Below are 20,894 nucleotides of genomic sequence, written 5' to 3'. Positions count from 1 at the left end.
GGTGGGAGAAAACAGAAGGAAGCACTGAAATAGGGTGACTCTGGGGAAAGGCTTGGAGGAAATACACTCTCTTCTGCTATGTGACCCCCCCAAAGCTGAACATTGGAGGAAAGGAGCAGCACTAATCAGTTTGGGAAGGCTCTTTAGGCATGCCAAACAAATGTCCCCCATTCTTCAACCAGAGCATACTGGCTTCCTCGTCAGATCACCCTCCCCACTCTCCTTCTCTCCTCCCACCATGACAATGCTCTGATGATGGTTTCTGCTATCTAAGGCCCTCACACCCCAGCAGAGCCACTATTGGCTGGGTAGTGGTTTGCTGACCAATCAAAGCTCAGTGGTGTGGCCCCGCCCTGTCCTGGAAGGGTATATATAGGGAAGCCAGGAGGCCTGGAGTAGACCACTGAGAGACCCCGAGGTGGTGAAGATAACCAGGAAACCAAGCAATCAGACCAGTTGTAGAACCCCCACCCACCAACACCAAAGAGTCAAGGAAGACAAAGTCCCCCTCTTAACCCAGGCCCAGAAGCCCTATCAAGGTGAGTGACACACCCAAGCTCCTCCTTGTCTTCCCCTTGACTCCTCCCTCCCAAGACTCCTACCCTGTCCTTGCCTGGCACAACCGCCCAACCCAGCCTGTAACCTTCACATGAAACCCCTGGTCCCACTCATCCTCTATCCCCTTCCCCAAAACCAGTGCCTTTCTGTGATCTCTCTGCTGTCCTTCTGGGTCCCAAGACAATCTGAAAGGGAAAAGGAAGACTTCGAGGGAGTTCCAGGGAAAAAGCTTCTCCAGAATGATCACCACTTCAAGAAAAGCTGAGCATGAGAGAGGGCCAATGCAATCCAGACACTGTGACCAGCTGAATGAGAAACTCAATCAAAATGAGCCACAGCAACACCAAAAGAGCCAGGAGACCTCCACCACCTGAAGCTTCTCCCTGGGCAGCCATTAATTTCAGGGCAAGGCCAGAGACCTCAGATCTATTTGAGAAGTCTCCAGAGATCTGGCCCCAGATAAATAGTCAATGGGGTCTAGAGTACATTTTAGATCCCACAGGGTATGCCCCATGGTGATGAAAATAAAATGAACTTGTTGTAAAATGATGTGTGGGTCTGCTCCTTCTCGGATGGTGGGAAGAGAGGAAGGAGGGAAGACGTGGTGTGTGGGAAGGGAGGAAGGTGGGTGTTGCGGGGTTGGGGTCAGATGGACAAGTCCTCAGTTAACCAGACATGGAGGATGAGGATTAGGTCAGGATTGAGCACTGGAGACAAATTTCCCCTTAACAGGATGACTTGGCTTCTTGTAAGGTTTCCGCCTTTATGGGATCTTGATGGTGCTTAAATCAAGTACCAAGAACTGGATTCTACCTACTTGTGATGGATAATATTAAGTGTCAACTTGATTGGATTGAAGGATGCAAAGTGTGGTTTCTAGATGTGTCTGCGAGGGTGTTGCTAGAGGAGATTAACATTTGAGCCAGTGGACTGTGAGAGGCAGACCAACCCTTAATCTGGGTGGGCACCATCCCCTTGCCTGCCAACACAGCTAGACAAAAGCAGGCAGAAGAAGGTGGAATGAGCAGACTTGCTGCGTCTTCTGGCCTTCATCTTTCCCCATGCTGGATGCTTCCTGCTCTCCAACATTAGACTCCAACTGCTTTGGCTTTTGGACTCTTGGTCTTATGCTAGTGGTTTTCCTGGGGCTCTCGGGCCTTCCACCACAGACTGAAGGCTGCACTGTTGGCTTCCCTACTTTTGAGGTTTTGAGGTTTTGGGACTTGGACTGATCCACTACTGGCTTCCTTGCTCCTCAACTTGCAGACAGCTTATGGTGGGACTTTATGTTGTCATCCTGTGAGTCAATTATCCTTAATAAATTCCCTTTCTCATATATATATATATATATATAAAATATCTATACATTCATATATATACATATATCTATGAAATCTATAGATATATGAAATGTATACACACACACACACACACACACACACATTTATCTTACTAGTTCTGTCCCTCTAGAGAACTCTAATACACTACTTATGTTTCACTGTCACAAAACCTTTTGGTTCATATAAACTGGTGGAAGAATCCTTTGCATCATCCTTCCTTACAGAGTCCCCTCCCTACAATCTAATATAATTAAGAAAAAAATTCAAAGTTGATACAAATCTATTCAAAGTAAAGCCAAAACTATCTACTTAAAAACTGCTTTATTTTTGCAACTGAGAAGACTGGATGTACATTTCCCATTTCCATACATTAGAAACACATAGGTCTTTTCTACTATGCATATATATGTATATATGTGTGTATATATATATGTGTGTGTGTGTGTGTGTGTGTGTGCCTGTGTGTGTTTTGTGTACCATCATTTGTATTGGAAGGTAAGGTGTTATTGTTGAAGCGTGCTTCACAGGCAAACAGAGAAAGGAAACTATCATTTTAAGAAGAATAAAGTACAAAATTTTCACAATTCAGTTTCCAGTTTTCAGTAAGTATTATGACAGAGAAATTCATACCTTTTAGCTTCATAATGAATAACATTTTTTACCTTTATGTGATTATGGAAATGTGAATTTCCATACAATAAGGGTTTGTGATGGAAAGCACTGATTCTATAAGCATTTTCCACTTGTTACATAGATTGTTATTATAGCTTTAAAGGTGTTAAGATTAATGGTGGCTTTGAAGAAATGGGAGCATCATTTGAGAAACTATAAATGAGTTCTGTTGCATCCCTTTCCTAGGTGACGTCAGGGCTCCACTTCATTAGCTAAGGAAGGCATTTCAGGGCTTTGCATGTGTACGTTGTAGCTGCCTCCTATGAAATCCTGAAAAATCTGGGACACTGTACAACAGACACAGGGCATTGTCCCACATCCTGAACTCCAACAATGTATTCTAGTATCTTCTATGTCTTTTGTAGTTCTTATATGGATCTACCATCGAAGAATGAGCATGCTGGATGTAAATCAAAGCCTCTTGATTTGCAAATGCTCCATCAACCCTGAACAATAATATTTGCATTTATGGGTGGGAAGCTGGTCAGAAGGAAAACATCCTGCTGTCTTTTTAGGAAATCACGTTGGACATGGTCGTATAGCTCTTTCCAAAGAGAAATTCGTTTTTTCCATAATAGATTAAAAACCGAAATAAACCATGTCTTGTCAGTGGTCACTTTTTGGATCAGTGTACATCATTGCACTGAGCAATTTTGCACAGTGTGTTTCAAAATTACATTCAAGAACTGATTTGCTTACTGGCACCTTATTTTGATGCCATGACATTTCCATTAAAATCTCTATGTCAAATCAGTCTATGATAACTCTTTTGGCATTCAAAAAAATTATCCATGGCTCTTAAACCATGTTTCTTTCATCATTTTACGGCCGTTGGAGCTTCAACTACTATTTGCTTGGGAACCCATCTTAACTAGCTCTTGCATTCGGGCTTCCTGTTTTATTGTGATGATTGGCAGACCCATTTCAGGCATGTTCAGCTTTGGAAAGGAATTACGATTTTGAACTTATACAAGCAAAAAATGTAACTGAGTTTATTTTCACAAACTGCTTTAATTTGTTAACAACAAGTCACTAAAACCAGAAATCAATCGTTTAAATTACCTTTTAATTTGTTGGAGCTTTCGTAAATGCTATGCTTTCATTTAAGTCTTTATTTATTCTACATGTTATATACATAGTTAAATTAGTTGATCAGAGTTTAAATATTTTCTCTCCTTCTCCAAGGACCCACAAGCTCAGGCTTAAAATAAAGAGTGGAATGAGAAAAGTAAAGGCCCGAAATATTATACCACCAAAGCTGTAGAGGACCTTTATAATAAAATAATGGATGTCAAAGCTTTCTGACCTTTTTAGGCAAATCTTCCTGTGTCCCTAAAGAAAAAACCCCCTTGCCAACAGCCACCAACAACAGGTAATCATGTGACTCTCAGCTGTGGTAGACAATTGCTGAAAAAATATGAAAACACCTTGGGCATATTAAGGAGCTAAGCATGAGATGATATATACATATGTGCATGTCTTTCTCATTAGACCCCTGGAAATAAAACATATTGCAGGAAGGCTCATGTCCATGTCTCTTGACCATGTAGCTTCCTCTGCTCCCAACTCTGAAGAACATTCTGGCCTTTGTTCATTCCCAGCTTGAGTATCTCATGCCTAAAAATGTTTTAGCCCCACATCAGTGCTGCATAGAACAGGGACTTGCTCTCAAAACAAGTCTGAAATTGATAAATGACAGGAGAAGCTCAATGTGATGGCTAGGTACCAGATAGAAGGCCTTCCACTGTTTTGAACACTGATTGTAAGCTCTAGAATAACTGTAGCTGCAGTCTACTGGGCAAGGGCATGTGTCAGGCAGGGTGTGAAATGCTCTGCATGCATGACCTCATTTCTCCCCCACATTACCCCTGTGGAATAGTCAGGACTCTTAAGAGACACCATCAACAGGATATAGACAAAGATACATAGACAGATCAGAGGGGATTGATTCGGGGAGTTGGAGGGTGAAACGTCTAAGGTCAGGCTGTCTGCAAGCTGGAGACCCTGGGAGGCCAGGAATGTGACTCAGTCCACATCCAAAAGCCTCAGTACCAGAGAAGCCAATGCTATAACTCTCAATATAAGGCCAAAGGCCTGAGAACCTGGGCAGGCCAGGGAATGGGCGTGTAAGTCCCGGAGTCTGAAGGCCAAAGAGCCAAGAGTTCTGGTGTCCAATGGCCAGATAATAAGAGTCCCAGCGGCCAGGCGCAGTGGCTCACGCCTGTAATCCCAGCACTTTGGGAGGCCAAGGCAGGCGGATCACGAGGTCAGGAGTTTGAGACCAGCCTGGCCAATATGGTGAAACCCCATCTCTACTAAAAATACAAAAGTTAGCTGGCTTGGTGGCATGCGCCTGTAGTCCCAGCTCTTCGGGAGGCTGAGACAGGAGAATGGCTTGAACCCAGGAGGCAGAGATTGCAGTGAGCCGAAATGGTCCCACTGCACTCCAGCCTGGGTGACAGAGCAAGACTCCATCTGAAAAGAAAGAGAAGAATCTCAGCTTCAGCAGAGAAAGGGAGCAAAGTGCATTTCATCTGCCTTGCCTTCTTTCTTCTATCAAGGTCCTGAACGAATTGGATGTGGCCCGCCCAGATTGAAGGTAACTTCCTCACTCTGCCCACCAACTCACCCCAATCTTATCTGGAATGCCTACAGAAGCTCACCCTGAAATACTGCTTTACCAGTTCTCTATGTATTCCTGAACGCAGTCACATTTTGGTTACCTAAAATTAACCATCACGCCCTATAAAATGCATAGTATCTCCCCTGTACAAATGTGGCAGAGCGTTTGGGACACTTTCTTACAGTGCCTGTAGTTTACAAGGCCAGGATGAAAACTCAAGTCTGCAAAGATCAAATTCCAAACCACCGTCTTAAAGACTGCTGCTCAGTGCTGTGAGCAGCACTGTATTAGATACTGTGCAAGGGAGAAAAGACACTCAAGAAAAGTCCCCTGCTTTAGGGACCACATCTTACCTTATATTAGGGACAGGAGTCATATTTCTGTGACTCTGCTATAGACCCAATAGCCAAGTGTGAAATGACCTGCTTTAGGTTTGTATGAGCTCAGAAGAAACCCTCAGTGAGAGCAAGATCGATGTAGGGTCAATTCATACAGGGATATTTTTATGGAAAATGTGAGCTTTTAGCCAATGTTTTCCTGAAAGAAATAGAAGACTACTGTTGGCAGAAAAGTGTTGTGCTGGGGATTAACTACTTGTAGGGCTGTTGGAGAAGGGTCCTAGGCACAGGTCCAGGAAAGTGGGAAAGAGTACACACAGTCAGAATAGAAACAGAGTTGAAGACCCTTCAGGAAGCGTAATAACAAAAAGAGCTCGACTAGTAAGCTGATACATAATTTTCAATCTTATCTAGACTGAGAACTTTGAATACAACCCATAATTACTTAAGAATTGTTGCAGTAAAAAATGGAGAAGTGTGTGAATTCTGGGTAAAATAAAAAAATTCATTAAGGTTGAATTAAATTATTACTTCAACAAATAATTACTGGATAACTACTATGATCCCGGTGAAAGGCCAGATGCTAATCAAAAAATAATAGGCCGGGCGTGGTGGCTCATGCCTGTAACCCCAGCACTTTGGGAGGTCGAGGCGGGCGGATCACAAGGTCAGGAGATCAAGACCATCCTGGCTAATACGATGAAACCCCATCTCTACTAAAAATACAAAAAAATTAGCCAGGTGTGGTGGCACACGCCAGTAATCCCAGCTACTCGGGAGGCTGAGGCAGGAGAATGGCGTGAACCTGGGAGGCGGAGTTTGTAGTGAGCCGAGATCGCGCCACTGCACTCCAGCCTGGGCGACAAAGCGAGACTGTCTCAAAATAATAATAATAATAATAAATAATAATGACTGTCATGACTGAGCAACTCACAGGACGAATCCATACAATGGTGCTGGAAGATAGATGGGCCCATCTTATTTCATCCTTATTTTAGAAAAGATGACACTGAGGACCAGCAAGGTTAATAACCTGTTCGAGATAACCCAGCAGTTGTACCGAGCTTGTCTGACTCCAGAGCCCACACATTCCCTCATACACCATGCGGCCAGACAAGGCCAGTGAAGTACTAACAGGTTTTCTTTTCTTTTTCCTTTCTTTTCTTTCTTTCCTTTATTTTCTTACTTTCCTTTCTTTCGTTTCTTTCCTTTCTTTTTCTTTCTCTTTCTTTCTTTCTTTTTTCTTTCTTTCTTTCTTTCCTCCCTCCCTCCTTTCCTTCCTTCCTTCCTTCCTTCCTTTCTTTTTTCTTTCTTTCAACAGAGTTTCACTCTTGTTGCCCAGGCTGGAGTGCAATGGCAGGATCTCGGCTCACCGAAACCTCTGCCTCCTGGGTTCAAGCGGTTCCCCTGCCTCAGACTCCCAAGTAGCTGGGATTACAGGCGTGCACCACCAGGCCTGGCTAATTTTGTATTTTTAGTAGAGATGGGGTTTCTCCATCTTGGCCAGACTGGTCTCGAACTCCCCACCTCAGGTGATCCACCCGCCTCAGCCTCCCAAACTGCTGGGATTACAGGTGTGAGCCACCACGCTTGGCCACTAACAGTTTTTCTAAGGTGTTGAATAGATGGAATAAGGGAATTAGCAGTATTATTTAAATTTAAGGTGTTGAATAGATGAAATAAGGGAATTAGGAGTATTATTTAAATTGTGGTAAAAACACAGTGCGTGACATATATACTCTTAACAAATGTTTAGGCATATAACACAGTATAATGAAGTATATGCCCATTGTTTGACAGTGGATCCTTAGAACTTTCTCATCTTCTATGACTACAACTCTATGCCGATTGCAATCCAATTCCCCGTTTTCCCCTCCTCCTAGCCCCTGGCAATCACCATGCTACTTTCTGCTTCTGTGAGTTTCACTATTGTAGATATCTCATAAAAGTGGAATCTGAAGCATTTGTCCTTCTGGAAATTGCTTGTTTAACTTAAGCATAATGTTCTCAGGTCCGTCGATGTGGCTGGAGTAGTTTCTGACAATTCTACACAGTGGGGGGATCTTGAAACTTGTCAAACATGCACCAAACTGGAAAGACTACTATAGCGATCACTACATTTTCATCACACAGCTCCAATCACTACAAGACAGCTAATTCCGTTTCGTACATCTCCCTCTCCAAAGCTGCACAAATACAGAAGAAAGTTCCCCTCTCCTTCAAAAGGAAATATTGATGATTTTGAATGGCATGAAGCCAATTTCTGTAATGCAGCAAAAGAATACATTTAACTGACTTATTCTAACCAAATTTGAAACAATTTCATTTGTTAGATCAAATGTTTCCAAAGGAAGATTTCAAGTGTTATTATATTTTTTAAGTGCATTAAAATAACATATAGGCATTAATTGTTCTCATATTCAAATAAATATACAAATGACTTTGCATATACTAACTGAATATTGCACTTGAAAAAAATTCTGTAGATAATTTATCTCTACAGAAAGCCTTGAAACATGTAAACCATAAATAATTATGCATACTTGTATATTTAGGAAACACTTCTAGTCAGTGCTAAAGACAAGCATCATTTAATAGTGGACCAAATCAATTAAATGACATTTTGATGTGTTTGTGAAAATGCCATATTCATGAATCCATGACTCACAATGTATACTTACATGTCTTGTTCAATGGTCTTAATGGTTTTTAGCAGTTTAATTTATTCTGGGGTACAAACTTATGTTGCTTTTAAGTTTTCATATTTCCTCTCAAATTTTATTTCATGAAAATTGGTTTCATAATTTAGTAAGGATACACAAAAATAAGTTCATAAAATAGATTTTGTCTTATGTTTTTTCTCCTTAGGAATAACAATGTAAGCTTAAATACTTGTGATTTCTACCATTTGAGACTGATATAGATCCACTGAGGCCAAATGTAAAATCAGATCATCTTTATTGCTAAAAGTTCATTGACAATGTTTGGGAGACTAGGTGACCATTATTAGGGAAAGGACTGAAAGCCCGCTACATACAACTTTGGATTGGCTACTACTGCTCACATAACTGTTTAGGATTTACATGGGTTTTAGCAGAAAAGGGATCCACCATGAAAACAAACAGTATGCAACAATTTAAACTAGGAATTTCAGGCCACATCGGTTTCATGGAGCTAATTTTATGGCTGTATGCTATCACCTAGGTTTAGCTTTGTTCTTTGAAGTGTCATCAGAATAACTGCGATAGGAGAACACCAGACACCTCTTGCAGATGCTGTTACATGAAAAGTGATATTAATCATTTATTGAATATTTAGGTAAATATTAGAAAAATTCAGCGAACAAAATATTTTACTGCTTAAATCAATCTTCAATTTTACCAATTTCCTTCATAAATTCTGTTTACAACACTGCTATTTCTTTTTTTTTTCCATTTTGTTTTTTTGAGACAGAGTTTCGCTCTTGTCGCCCAGGCTGGAGTGCAATGGCGCAATCTCAGCTCACTGCAACATCTGCCTCCCAGGTTCAAACAATTCTCCTGCCTCAGCCTCCCTAGTAGCTGGGATTACAGGTGCCCGCCACCACGTCCCGCTAATTTTTTTTGTATTTTTAGTAGAGACAGGGTTTCGCCATGTTGGCCAGGCTGGTCTTGAACTCCTGACCTCAGGTGATCTGCCCACTGAGATTACAGGCGTGAGCCACCACGCCCGGCCCCATTTCTTTTCTAAGTTCACTTTGTTCACCAGTAAGACAAACTGTATGATTCTCCTCCAGGTCCTCCACGTGCTACAACAAAAAACCAAGTTCAGTTATAACCAACCACTCTTCATCACCTTATAACTGTGTATAACTACATTTCAAAAGCAAAACACTTTAAAATTCCAATGATGGTTATTATCTATTCCAGATTTAAAAAGCACTCTAAGAGCTACCCGAAGACCAAAATACTCACTTAAGAAACATAGAAATGTGTGAATTTAGTCAATTATGATTACAGTAGGAGGCACGACAATATCACAATTTGCTCCAAACAATGGGATATTGAAATGTTCAGGTGAAGATATAGCAAAAAGAATGGAAGTTCCATGTAAATCCATGCGCTAATTTCATTCATAAGCTTCCCAAACACCAGGTATTCGACCATTTATTATCCCTGATATTGCATGTAACATGGTTTCCATAGATAGAGGGAATAAAATGCTCAGTAGTATGATCTCGAGTTACGAAAAATACAATTTGAATTTTAAATCTTTATTCTTCATTCAACAAACAGTGAAATAATGCCTGCTACAGAAAAGTTAGGATGTCATGTGCTATGGTGGCATTAGAAGATGAACACATGATCTTTTCCATATTCCAGTGACTTCAGGAAACATGTAAACTGAAGTCATACAAAAATGTTACAATAGACATGGAAGGGCAACTTGCTGGCACTGTACAGTGGACAATGGAGATCAATGCCTACTTAGTTGGCAAAAGAATTAGATTTCGATAGGTTAGCAAAAGGAGATAAAATTTTTATGGTGGAAGGGCTTAAATAAAGCCTGGAAATAATGGTGAATTATTTCACAGAAGGCTATCAACCTGGAGGGATGACAGGAAGGAAAGAATGTAGCAAATGAAGTGGTTTTTTTTTTAATATACTTTAAGTTTTTAGGGTACATGTGCACAACCTGCAGGTTTGTTACGTATGTATACATGTGCCATGTTGGTGTGCTGCACCCATTAACTCTTCATTTAACATTAGGTATATCTCCTAATGCTATCCCTCCCCCCTCCCCCCACCCCACAACAGGCCCCGGTGTGTGATGTTCCCCTTCCTGTGTCCATGTGTTCTCATTGTTCAATTCCCACCTATGAGTGAGAACATGCAGTGTTTGGTTTTTTGAAGCTGGAAACCATCATTCTCAGCAAACTATCGCAAGGACAAAAGCAAATGAAGTTTTAAAAGGAGGTCATGTCAAGGCAGAGGTGTCTCTGAATATCCATGAATTTAGAATGGAAAGCTCGTGACAGGTTGGGAAGAGGGAAGGGCGATGTCTTAGGAAGATAAGATTGCAGATCTATGAAGGATGGAAAGAGGAAGAGAGAACTCAGATGAAATTTTAATAGCGTAAGTGAGGAAGGATGAGGTCCTGAGCTAGGACAGCAGCAGTGAGAATCTAAACAAAAAACTTAAAATAACGTTGAGGTGGTAAAAATGGCAGGGCCTAGTGATAGATAGCTGGATGGGAAGGAAAAGGAAATGCAGAAGACTAAATCATCATGAAGTTCCCACCATAAGTGGTGACATTTAGCACTAACATTGAGAAGATCTTATTTCCCAAACATGTGTAACAATTGGTACATGGTTCTCAGAGACCATTAAACAACACATCCTCTACTTAGAAACACTTGAATAACAACTGAGTGTACATATTACATATATGTATACACACATGTAGTATATGTATCATAGTAAACAATGTAAAGAATGACTATCCTGAAACTCGTTTTCCTGAAACAATCCCCTCAGTTTAGAAGAGTGAATTTTTAACAAGAATTTGAACAAGATTGTTTTAAAAACACTCCAAATTTATAAAATGAATAGGAATGTACACCATTCCATAGAAACCTAAATAGATATATACCTGCATGGTTAAGAGGTCAATATCACTGAGGACAACTTGCAAAAGTACAAATGTGACGGGAGACAATTCTCAGTCACAAACTGTTAATTCTTTCCTGGCTTTTTCATTCTGAACGCATCTGGGCCCTGTCTTGTGATAGTAACTTGGCAGAGAAATCAATTTGTAGTCACTTCAATAATAGTGCAAGCAAATATGTCATGAAATAATCAGGAAATAAATTTGAAATAAAAAATACCCATTTGTTACAATTGGGTGCCTTCTCTTTGAGAAACACTGGCACTAGAAAGACTATTAAACCACATCTAGAAATGATGTAGAAACTTCTTGCTTTCATCTATTGCTGCACCAGTAAAAACTGTCGAGCAAAAGAGTCATGGTGTTTAGTCATGTAAATAAAGTGTGAATAGCCAACACGGTATGTATATTTCTGGGTGAAATTGCCAAGTTACCGTTTCCTGTTTTGGATTACACCAAAAACAATTAATGAATTCTAAAAGTAAAAATACATTTAGTTCTTACTTTAAAACAATGACATTAACATGGAAAATGCTTAAGAATTTTATAATCAAAGTATTTTTAACACTATTTTGGAAAGGAAAACAGTTTTTTAAATTTTCAATATACATGTAAAGTCTTACGAGAATATGTTGTGTAACCAAATACCACTGACCTGTAAGAATTCCTCACATAATGCATTAAATGCTTTTGTTCTCTGGCCCTCAACAATTTCAGATTCTTGAAAAAGTCTTTTGTTGCTGTTGAGAAATATGCTCTACAAATATACAAAGAAAACTCGATAACAATTCGAGTAAAATTTAAAATTTATCAAAAAAACAATTCTTTGTTAACTTAAAGCTAACAATTTTGAAATTATCATTTGAAAATATTTTTTCTTATTAACAAATACTATGACCAAGTTTATGAAATTTGTGTCCAACAATAATATACAAAAACTATATAATAATCCTATCATGCATTTTTTATGGAAATGTTCCTTTTTAATAATATTCTACAAATATGTTTTAGTCCTTGATGCTTTCAAAGCCCACACACGTAATCCTTCCAATAAAACTGGTCTTTCTGTTCCACCACCAATGATCTTGACATTTCCTGCAAATTAAACACTCACATAGCCACATCCTAGATTTTGACATTCCTGAGAATCTACAATATCTACATAACATTAATAAAAGCAAAGTTGTACTATAGGAACCATATGTCAGATCCTGTTCTGAACCATTTTAAATACCTTATTATAGAAAAATTCATTTAACACTCAAAACAACTCTGTGAGGTAGGTACTCACATTATGCCCACAATATTAATGGAGCAAGCTGGGACACAGAAAGAATTTGCTCATGGTTTCCCAGGCAGCAATGGTCGAACCAGACTTAGATTCTAAACAGTGGGGGTTGAGTCCGGGCTTTTGACCACTACACTATGCTATTTCCCCATGTATCCAACATGCAACAACTAATGCCCTCACACTGTAGGTCACTCTAAGCACTACAGCTCAGGAGTCTATCAGGAACTGAAGCCCATTGAATAGAGCACCTTTCACTGTCCAACACTGGAGTGCCCAACACTCCCTTTCTTCGTTCCCAGATTAAGTTCCATGGTCACTCACCATAACTCCATCCTTGTGTATGTGCCCTGCCAGCTTCTCCCTCTGTCACAGTGCTCAGCCAAATGCCAACCCAGAAAAATCCAACTCTCCAGCTGCCCTAACACAACCATGCCAACAGATCTCAAAGTCGTGTTTATGATGACACTAATCTAATTTGCACTCCCAATGCTGCTTGACAATTATATTCCCCTAGTCCACTCACTGGCCCAGTCTCAGGAAAAAAAGTATAGTCCTTCTTCTCTGCCCTCCTGCCCCATCTCTACTTGTCACTGATGATCTTTTATCTCACTACAGAGACAGAAGCAACCCACAGGGCACATTCAGCGTCCGAGCATCACATCTTCACCCACCTTTGTCCATCAGTGCTTACGCACTCGACCTTCTCTCCTGTTTAAATGCATGAACTACTACTCCTTCCTGAAGTCAACTTGCTCCCCTGTCCACTAGAGCCCACTGCTTCTCAAGAACATCGTTCAGCACTTTCCCCTCCTCTTTCCAACATTTCCAAGGTTTCCCTCTATATTGTTCCTATCAGCATACAACATGCCGGTCCTTCTGTAATCACTAAGAAAACCACAAAAACCTCTAGCTACTCCTTTTTGCCTCAGGTTACTACCCCAGTTCTTTCTTCCCAGTTGTCTCTTGTCTTTTCCAATCAGTCCTTTGCACCCACCATTCCACCAAACCACTCTTACTAAGGATATCAAAGGGCCTCCATATACCAAGTCCCCCTCCTTCAGCCTATCAGCAGCATGTGATGAGGTGGTCCTCTCTCCTTCTAAAAGGTCTTCTTTACTGTGTTTCAGCTGGTTTTCTTTTACTTATTTGTTCACTCATTCTTCGGCTTCATTACTGATGCCCCAGTTCTGCGGTAGCTCAAAGTATTGAAGGAACGCGGAATCAGTCTTTAGACTTCCCTTTTTTGTTTACAGTCATTCCCTAGGTGATCTCTCCTAGTCTCCTTGATTAAACGCAATCTGTGTGATATTAATTCCCGCTCTGGTGTCCTCAGCTCCTACCACTCTCCTGAACATGAGGCTCATATATCCAGGGTATATTGCTTATCCCCACTTGACATCCGCCCTCAGGTGCTTCATATGCACCTCAACTTTAACATTTCCAAAACTGAGCTGATCAACCAACACTCATAATTTCTTTATATGAACAATCCCTTTGCTTTTGGATAAGAAATGTGTGACCATGGTACAGTCAAGGCATGGGTGAAAAAAGAAGGCTAGTAAATGTAAGACGGAAGCTATCTTAACATGCCTTAGCTAATATAAATTAAGGAAGATTTATTGTATTATAAATTTTCCAGAAAAAAAATGCATTTTTCTCTGCAAGTGTTTTAGTTTTTATTTTCTCTTTTTGAGTAGTATATAAGTTGAGATATCACAAATAGACTTAATTTGGATATTACACTCCTTTATCATCTATGATTTCCAAACAGGAATATTTCATTTTCCTCACTTTCTGACAATAAGAATTCTGTACAAAAAAAAATATACTGAACCCAGTTCAGTGAAGCTTACAAATTATTTACAATATAACATTAATCTTTGTCTGTGTAATTGAATACAAATAACTATTACAAGACTAAATGTTTAAGACTTTTAACTTTAATTCAGCAAGCACATTCATGGAATGAATACAAATTTTCATGATAAGCAAAATCGACTGTAATTTGAAAGAGAAAACAGGTCATGTTTAGTGAACTCGAGGATACACATCTCATTTCATTATGATGTGGCATCATAGCACTTAGATTATTTAAATTAAGTATTAATTAATTCTTAATTAAGGAATTATTTCTTTAGAGAAAAATCCAGCTAAATATATTTTTTCATTGGACTTCCAGCACATGGACGATCATAGCATTTTTCCAAAGTAGTTTGTATCCACGAATGCTAAGAAATGAAACAAAGCATCTGGCTCCAACATAACCAACAATCTTACCATTGTTCTTCCCGGGTATGCCAAGCAAGTTCAATTTCCTGCTGAATGATTTTCGTGGAAGCATTGATATTCATTTTGAAATGTTTTATCGATGCTTTAGGAACATTTTTAAAGTGCCCTATATGGAAAACACTCATTAAAATTTTGTTTAAAATTATTTTGCTCCCACATATTCACGTCCATAAAGGTAATGTTGGTTCAGCAGTATTAAAAAGACACCTAGCATGAACAAATTGGCATCATTTCAAAATAAAAGATTATTTGCCTCATTTTCGTCTGTGAAAACTTACAGTGACAGATACCTCAATATGGAAAACATTGTTTCGAAGATGTAATAAGGAGTTAAAGAGAAAAGCTGTCTGTTTTCTAAAACTTGTAAAAAGGGTCTCAAGGAGAGCCTATAATTTTTTATGAGAAAACTTTTCTGAAAAATAATTCTTAATAAATTAATAAAATGTACTCTAACTCAAGGATATGTTTAGACCGACCATGGTTAGAACACATTATATTAACCAACTACAATTATTCCATTTTCAAAGGAATAAAAATAAATAAATGATAAACTAAGAATAGTATTTTTAAAATTTAGCCCGGGAAGCTTTTAAATCAATTTGACTAAGAAAAATGACCACAGATAGTTTAAGGAAATTAATATTTATTCAAGAACACTTCCTGGATACTTTCATGCAGGTTTTCATATATCATTTCTCCCCAAATTGCTGCAGATTGTAAGTTTGCAAAATTGTAAAATTTACAATCTGTAACACTGTACATTTTTTAAGTATTTCAAACAATTCCTTGCTAACCATATGATTGATTCTATGTTATGGACCTACCGTCAGTGGTTATTTTCCAGTGTTCAGGAGGGAGCTGTATTACTATAAAAATATTTTATAAATGCAGTTTACCGTCTATAACAACCAATTAATAAGACAGCTCGCACATCAAGCACATTTTCACCACAAAATACAACAAAGCTTTCAACATGTATCTGCTCACATATATGATCCAAATAGAGGAGATAAAACTTGAGAATGACACGGTTAAGAGTTTGTCCTTTTACATAGTTAATTTAACTGATAGCTGAGGTATCCATTTAAAACTTAGATGCTTGATAGCTGAGGTATCCATTTAAAACTTAGATGTTTTTGGTTGTGATCACACGTCTCTCACATGCCAGCAAAGTTGTCTGAGTTCTCCACTACAGAGGTTATTAATGTAAACATAACAATAAGAGGCTATTTTAGAGGCCTCAGTTTGCACTGCCCACCCCAAGAAAGAAATGGGAAAGTCTTATAAAATAACTAGAATAAGAAAACAGCAATGGATATGAAAAACAGATATATCACTTACTATCTGACACAATGTGGAATATATATTATTAGTAAATTATTTTCTAATATTCCACAGTGAATAAAGTAAAAGCATTACTCTGCCTAACCACTGTGTGTACCATCCACTTCACTCAACAGCTTAAAAGGGTAAGGAAGGAAATCGATGGAGCTGAATCACACTCAATCCTTATGTGGCATCCTGGATAGGAGAACAAAGCATTAAATAACACTAATGCAGCCCCCTCATTAGCATTTCTTGCTATAAAAGATATATGGCTGACAACAATGTTCTTGAATTACAAGTATCTCCCAGACACCTACAAAGCTTTCCCACATATTTTGAAATTCATTCCTGGAAGAAATTACTTTTTTTTTTCACTAGGTGTGAATAAGATACCACGCTTGTGTTGTAGGGCATGCCTGATGCCCAGTGTTTTAAACACAAAATGTGCCACGAGTCAAAGTTGATTTTTCTGAACTTACTTTACTAGGAGGCACAATTACATTAAACACATTACCACATGTCTTCCTCATCTGTTTCTGCAAAATGACTACTTTCGGGATGGCTGTGCATTCCTGAATTCCGTGCTGCACTGAAAATTTGAAAAGGCAAACGTTTTTAGAGGAAGGATGCTATTGTGGACATTTTTTCACATGGAAATGTACTATTTGTGGATTTGTATGGCTGTTTGCCAATTAAAGCTTTAAAGCAGACCTATATACATGGAGTCCCTTGAGCCCTGACCATTTTACAGAGACATTTTTGCAAGCCCTCCAGGACTGAAGTCATAGATAACCATGCACTGCGGATCAGACTCCTTGGACGTCACGGACTGCACACATCCAGAAGAGCAGCTCTAAGGGCATCTGTAACTCTGCCGTGGGGCAGGAGCTTCCCATGGGAAACCTAAAGCCCTTGAAACTGCTTTAGAAACCTAGGGCTTCTTAGCATATGCAAGGTGGGCACCAAAGTAACGAGGGTGCCACGGGCTGCCCATGTGCTCCCCACGACCCGGTGCAAGGAGATAAGACAGACCGTCCCCTTGGGCGGGCACCTGTTTCCTTGACCCTTCATTCCAGTTTTACGTCCATGCCCCGTTTCCTGGGCTACCATAAACTGAGTTTACAGCAGGGCCTTGTCAGCCTCCCTGACGCACTTCCCGTCCATACGCACCATGGCTGGCCGTCCTGGGAGGCTAGAGACGACTCCTGAACCTTGTGAGTGCAAAGACACACTAAGGAACCCAGGTGTGTTAAATGAGAGCCAACGGGGAGGTCCCCAGGTTGAAGAAGAGTGGGGCTGGCATGCTCCGTGTCTACTGCTGAAGGAGCAAAGGACAAGGGAGAAGAGGCCAGCGTCCCCACCTGTCCCGTTATGTCCCATCCAGCCCTTCCCTGGGGCTGCCTGCAGAGCTCACACCTGCTCCGCACACCTGAACTCCAGGTCCTCTGCTGAATTCTTGCCGTGCCCTTGGGACAGAGATTGCCCCTGCCCCGGGTCCCCAAGTGACCCCGTGTTGGTCGGGAGAGCTGTAGGGTGACACAGGACCTCCCCAGCCATCTGCATGGGAATGAACCTCTGTGTACCCGTCCTCGACAGTCAGGTGCTGGCATCTGCCCTCTCACCTGCCTGGACGCCCAGCAGACCCCCGGTGACCAAGGGTCCCATCCAGATGGGTGGCCGAGCAAGAGGGACACACGCGGACTCTCCCCCAGCCTCCAGCACATGCACAGAACCCAGTGATGCTCCCGGGCACTGGGGACCACCTGGACCCCTCGATCTCCCTTCCCTGGCCCATGCCAGCCTGCCCCTAGGGGACTCTCCCTGACCCAGGCCCCAGGTGACGCTGGGGAGATTTCCTCACAGGTCAGCCTGAGCTGCCCCAAGATCCACACTCTCGTCCTCTGAGGACCTCGGACTACACGGTCCCAGTCTCCCCTCCGGCCAGGTCCTCTCCTGAGGTACCCTCGACCTCTCCTCCTCACAGGACCTCCAGGACCTGGCACCTTGATGCTCCTCTGAGGGCCTGGGTCCTTGGTCCTCGCGAGAGCAGCTGGCCTGACTGTGGGTGCCCTTTCCTGATTGGCTGGCTCAGTGCATGTGGGAGGTGGGGCTATGTGGAGCCACGCCCCCCCCCCCCACTGGGCACGCCTTCCCCTGAGGGATGGCCCATGGCTGCTGTGGACTGGACTTCCACCCCTACGGTCCTCCAGCTCCTCATCCTGGGGAAGGACAGAAGGACCTGGGAGTGGAGTGGGGAGCAGCTACTGACCCTGCCCTGAGAGGTGGAGGCCATGTGGCTGTGGCCTAGGACCTTGTACCTGGACTCCTTCCAGCCACCCTTCTCCTTTGGGAGAAATGGCCATCACCCTGGAAGTGGGGCCCAGGCTCCCTCCCATGCCCTGTGTGCTTCCAACACGCCCAGCTGCATCCCAGGCATTCCTGCTGTGCGTCCCGTGCACCCACCACATCACAAGACCTGCTTCCTTATCTCTGTGGGATTCTGCCCCTTCCTCCTTAGCTCACCGTTGAGTCACTTAGGGTGCCTATGGGGTGGCAGGTGCCGTCCTGCCCTCATCTCCCCTGTTGCATCAGGTACCCGTGTGGGGCCACTCCACCCCGCATGCGTCCATTTCCTGTCCATTCACCTCTGGGCAGGGCTGTTGTGAAAGAGGGCTGCTCTATTGTTGTGGCTAGGGCTGTTGTGAAAGAGGGCCGCTCTGACTTTGATTAAATGTTGTGGTTACCTGTAGACATGCTGCTTTCATTTCCCCTATTCCATCACCTACCTCTGTGGGGCTAATCTACAAAAAATCCGCTTAGTTCTCTGTCTATGGACATGTCAGTTCTTTCCAGTGTCAGTCCCTTCTAAGCAAGGATGCTATGAAGAGTGAGATGTCTGGCATACGTGCCAAAGGTTTACACGGTATCAGAGAGTGGAATTCCTGGATCATAGACTCAGGGAATATTCCCCAGTGCTCAATTGTTTCCAAGAGGCATCCCCCACCAGAAGAGTGTGTTCCCACTGTTACACAGACTCGCTGGTGGAATAGGCCTTTTGCTTAATGCTGTCATTCTAGTGGGTGTGAAATGGCATGGATTTGGGATCTTGCATTTCTCCAGTTACTAATAAGACTGGGTTCTTTTTCTCGGCTGTTTGCATATCCTTTTACAGTACAATATCCATGTTGGTGAATTAACCATTTTTCACTTTAATAAGATGTTTTTCTTCCAGTTCTTATATATTGTGAGGCTAAGCTTTATAACTGTGTTTACCTGTGCCTTTTGTAATAAATTTATCTTTTCTCTGAAGTCATAAAAATTTCCCCTCTATTTTCTAATAAAGATTGTGAGATTTAATTTTTCATGTTCTTTTTAACCTTTAAGTTCAGAGGTATATGTGCAGGTTTGTTATAGGGTAAACTTGTGTCATGGGGCTTTGTTGTACAGATTATTTCATCACCCACTTATTAAGCTTAGTACCCATTAGTTATTTTTCCTGACTTACCTACAATTGATTTTTGTGCCTGATGTCAGGTGGAGAACCAATTCCTTTTTTTCCTTCCCGTGCAGAAATTCGGTTTTCTTGTCCTCATTAGTTGAAGAGCATACACTTTCCCCATTATCAGCTTATTTACTGCAAAGTCCCTCTTTGTTCCTGCTGATTTGAAATGCTACCTTTATCATACTCCCAATTTGCAAATATTACTGGGTCGTCTTATCACTTTCTAGAATGTTGCCTTGGTCTGTCTCTCTATTCCCATGCCAGTGAATACCACAGTGTTTTAATTATGGAGGCTGGGTGTATACTGTAATGTGTTTGGGGCCAGTTTTCCCATATAGCTCTTCCTTTCCCGTGACTTTGTAGCTATTCTTGCCTTTTGAAATGGGCATTATGATACCATCTTCTTCTCTCCAGGAAAAAGGGAATGGTGTTGGTATTTTTATGGAATTGTATTAAACTTATAAACTCACTTAGGGAGAACCAACATCTTGATGATGCCGTAATGTCCTAACACTGAACAAACGATTTCTACCCACTTGCCCAAGTCTGCTTTTGTGTCTTTTTAAAAGGCACCGTATAGTGCTTTCAATATGTCTTAATTTTATGCCTAAATATTTTCATCATTTTTGTTGCTTTTGTAAATGATTGTTTTATTTGTAATTGTATCCCCTACCTGGTTATGTTTTGGTGGGCGTGGAGCCTTTTGATCTGAGCAGTAGCTCTCAAGAGTAGGCTTTGGTTTGGAGAAAGTGCCTATGAAACAGTCTGTGCCTGGTGGTCTCATATGGGAGATTTCCTTCGTAAGGCTATTTCCTCTGTACAAATGTTCTTTTATCCTTTTGGGCGCTATTGGGGTCAATTATATAGTGAGTGTATTTTCACAAGAAATTACATAGTTCATATAGTTTTACAAGGTTATCGGCATAGAGATGTGTAAAGAGGCCCCTCTGATTTTTAAAAATTTCCTCTTTATTGTTATTTACAGGCATACCTCAAAGATATTGTGGGTTTAGTTCCAGACCATCACAATAAAGCAAGTGACATGAATTTTTTGGTGTTTCTTGCATGTAAAAGTTAAGTTTACAGTATATTATAGTCTATTAGATGTGCAATAGCACTATGGCAAAAATATATACATGCCTTAACTTAAAAAGAGTTTATTATAACAAATGCTCAATATCACCTGAGCCGTCAGTGAGTCATACACTCTTAGCTGGTGTGAAGTGTTGCCTCAATGTTCATGGCTGCTGAGTGATCGGTGGGGTGGTTGGTGAAAGTTGGGGTGGCTGTGGCAATTTCTTAAAATTAG

This window comes from Homo sapiens, chromosome X (genome assembly GCF_000001405.40).
Source record: "Homo sapiens chromosome X, GRCh38.p14 Primary Assembly".
Lineage (NCBI taxonomy): Eukaryota > Metazoa > Chordata > Mammalia > Primates > Hominidae > Homo > Homo sapiens.
The sequence above is the reverse complement of the archived record's forward strand: the minus strand, read 5'-3'. Positions refer to the sequence as shown.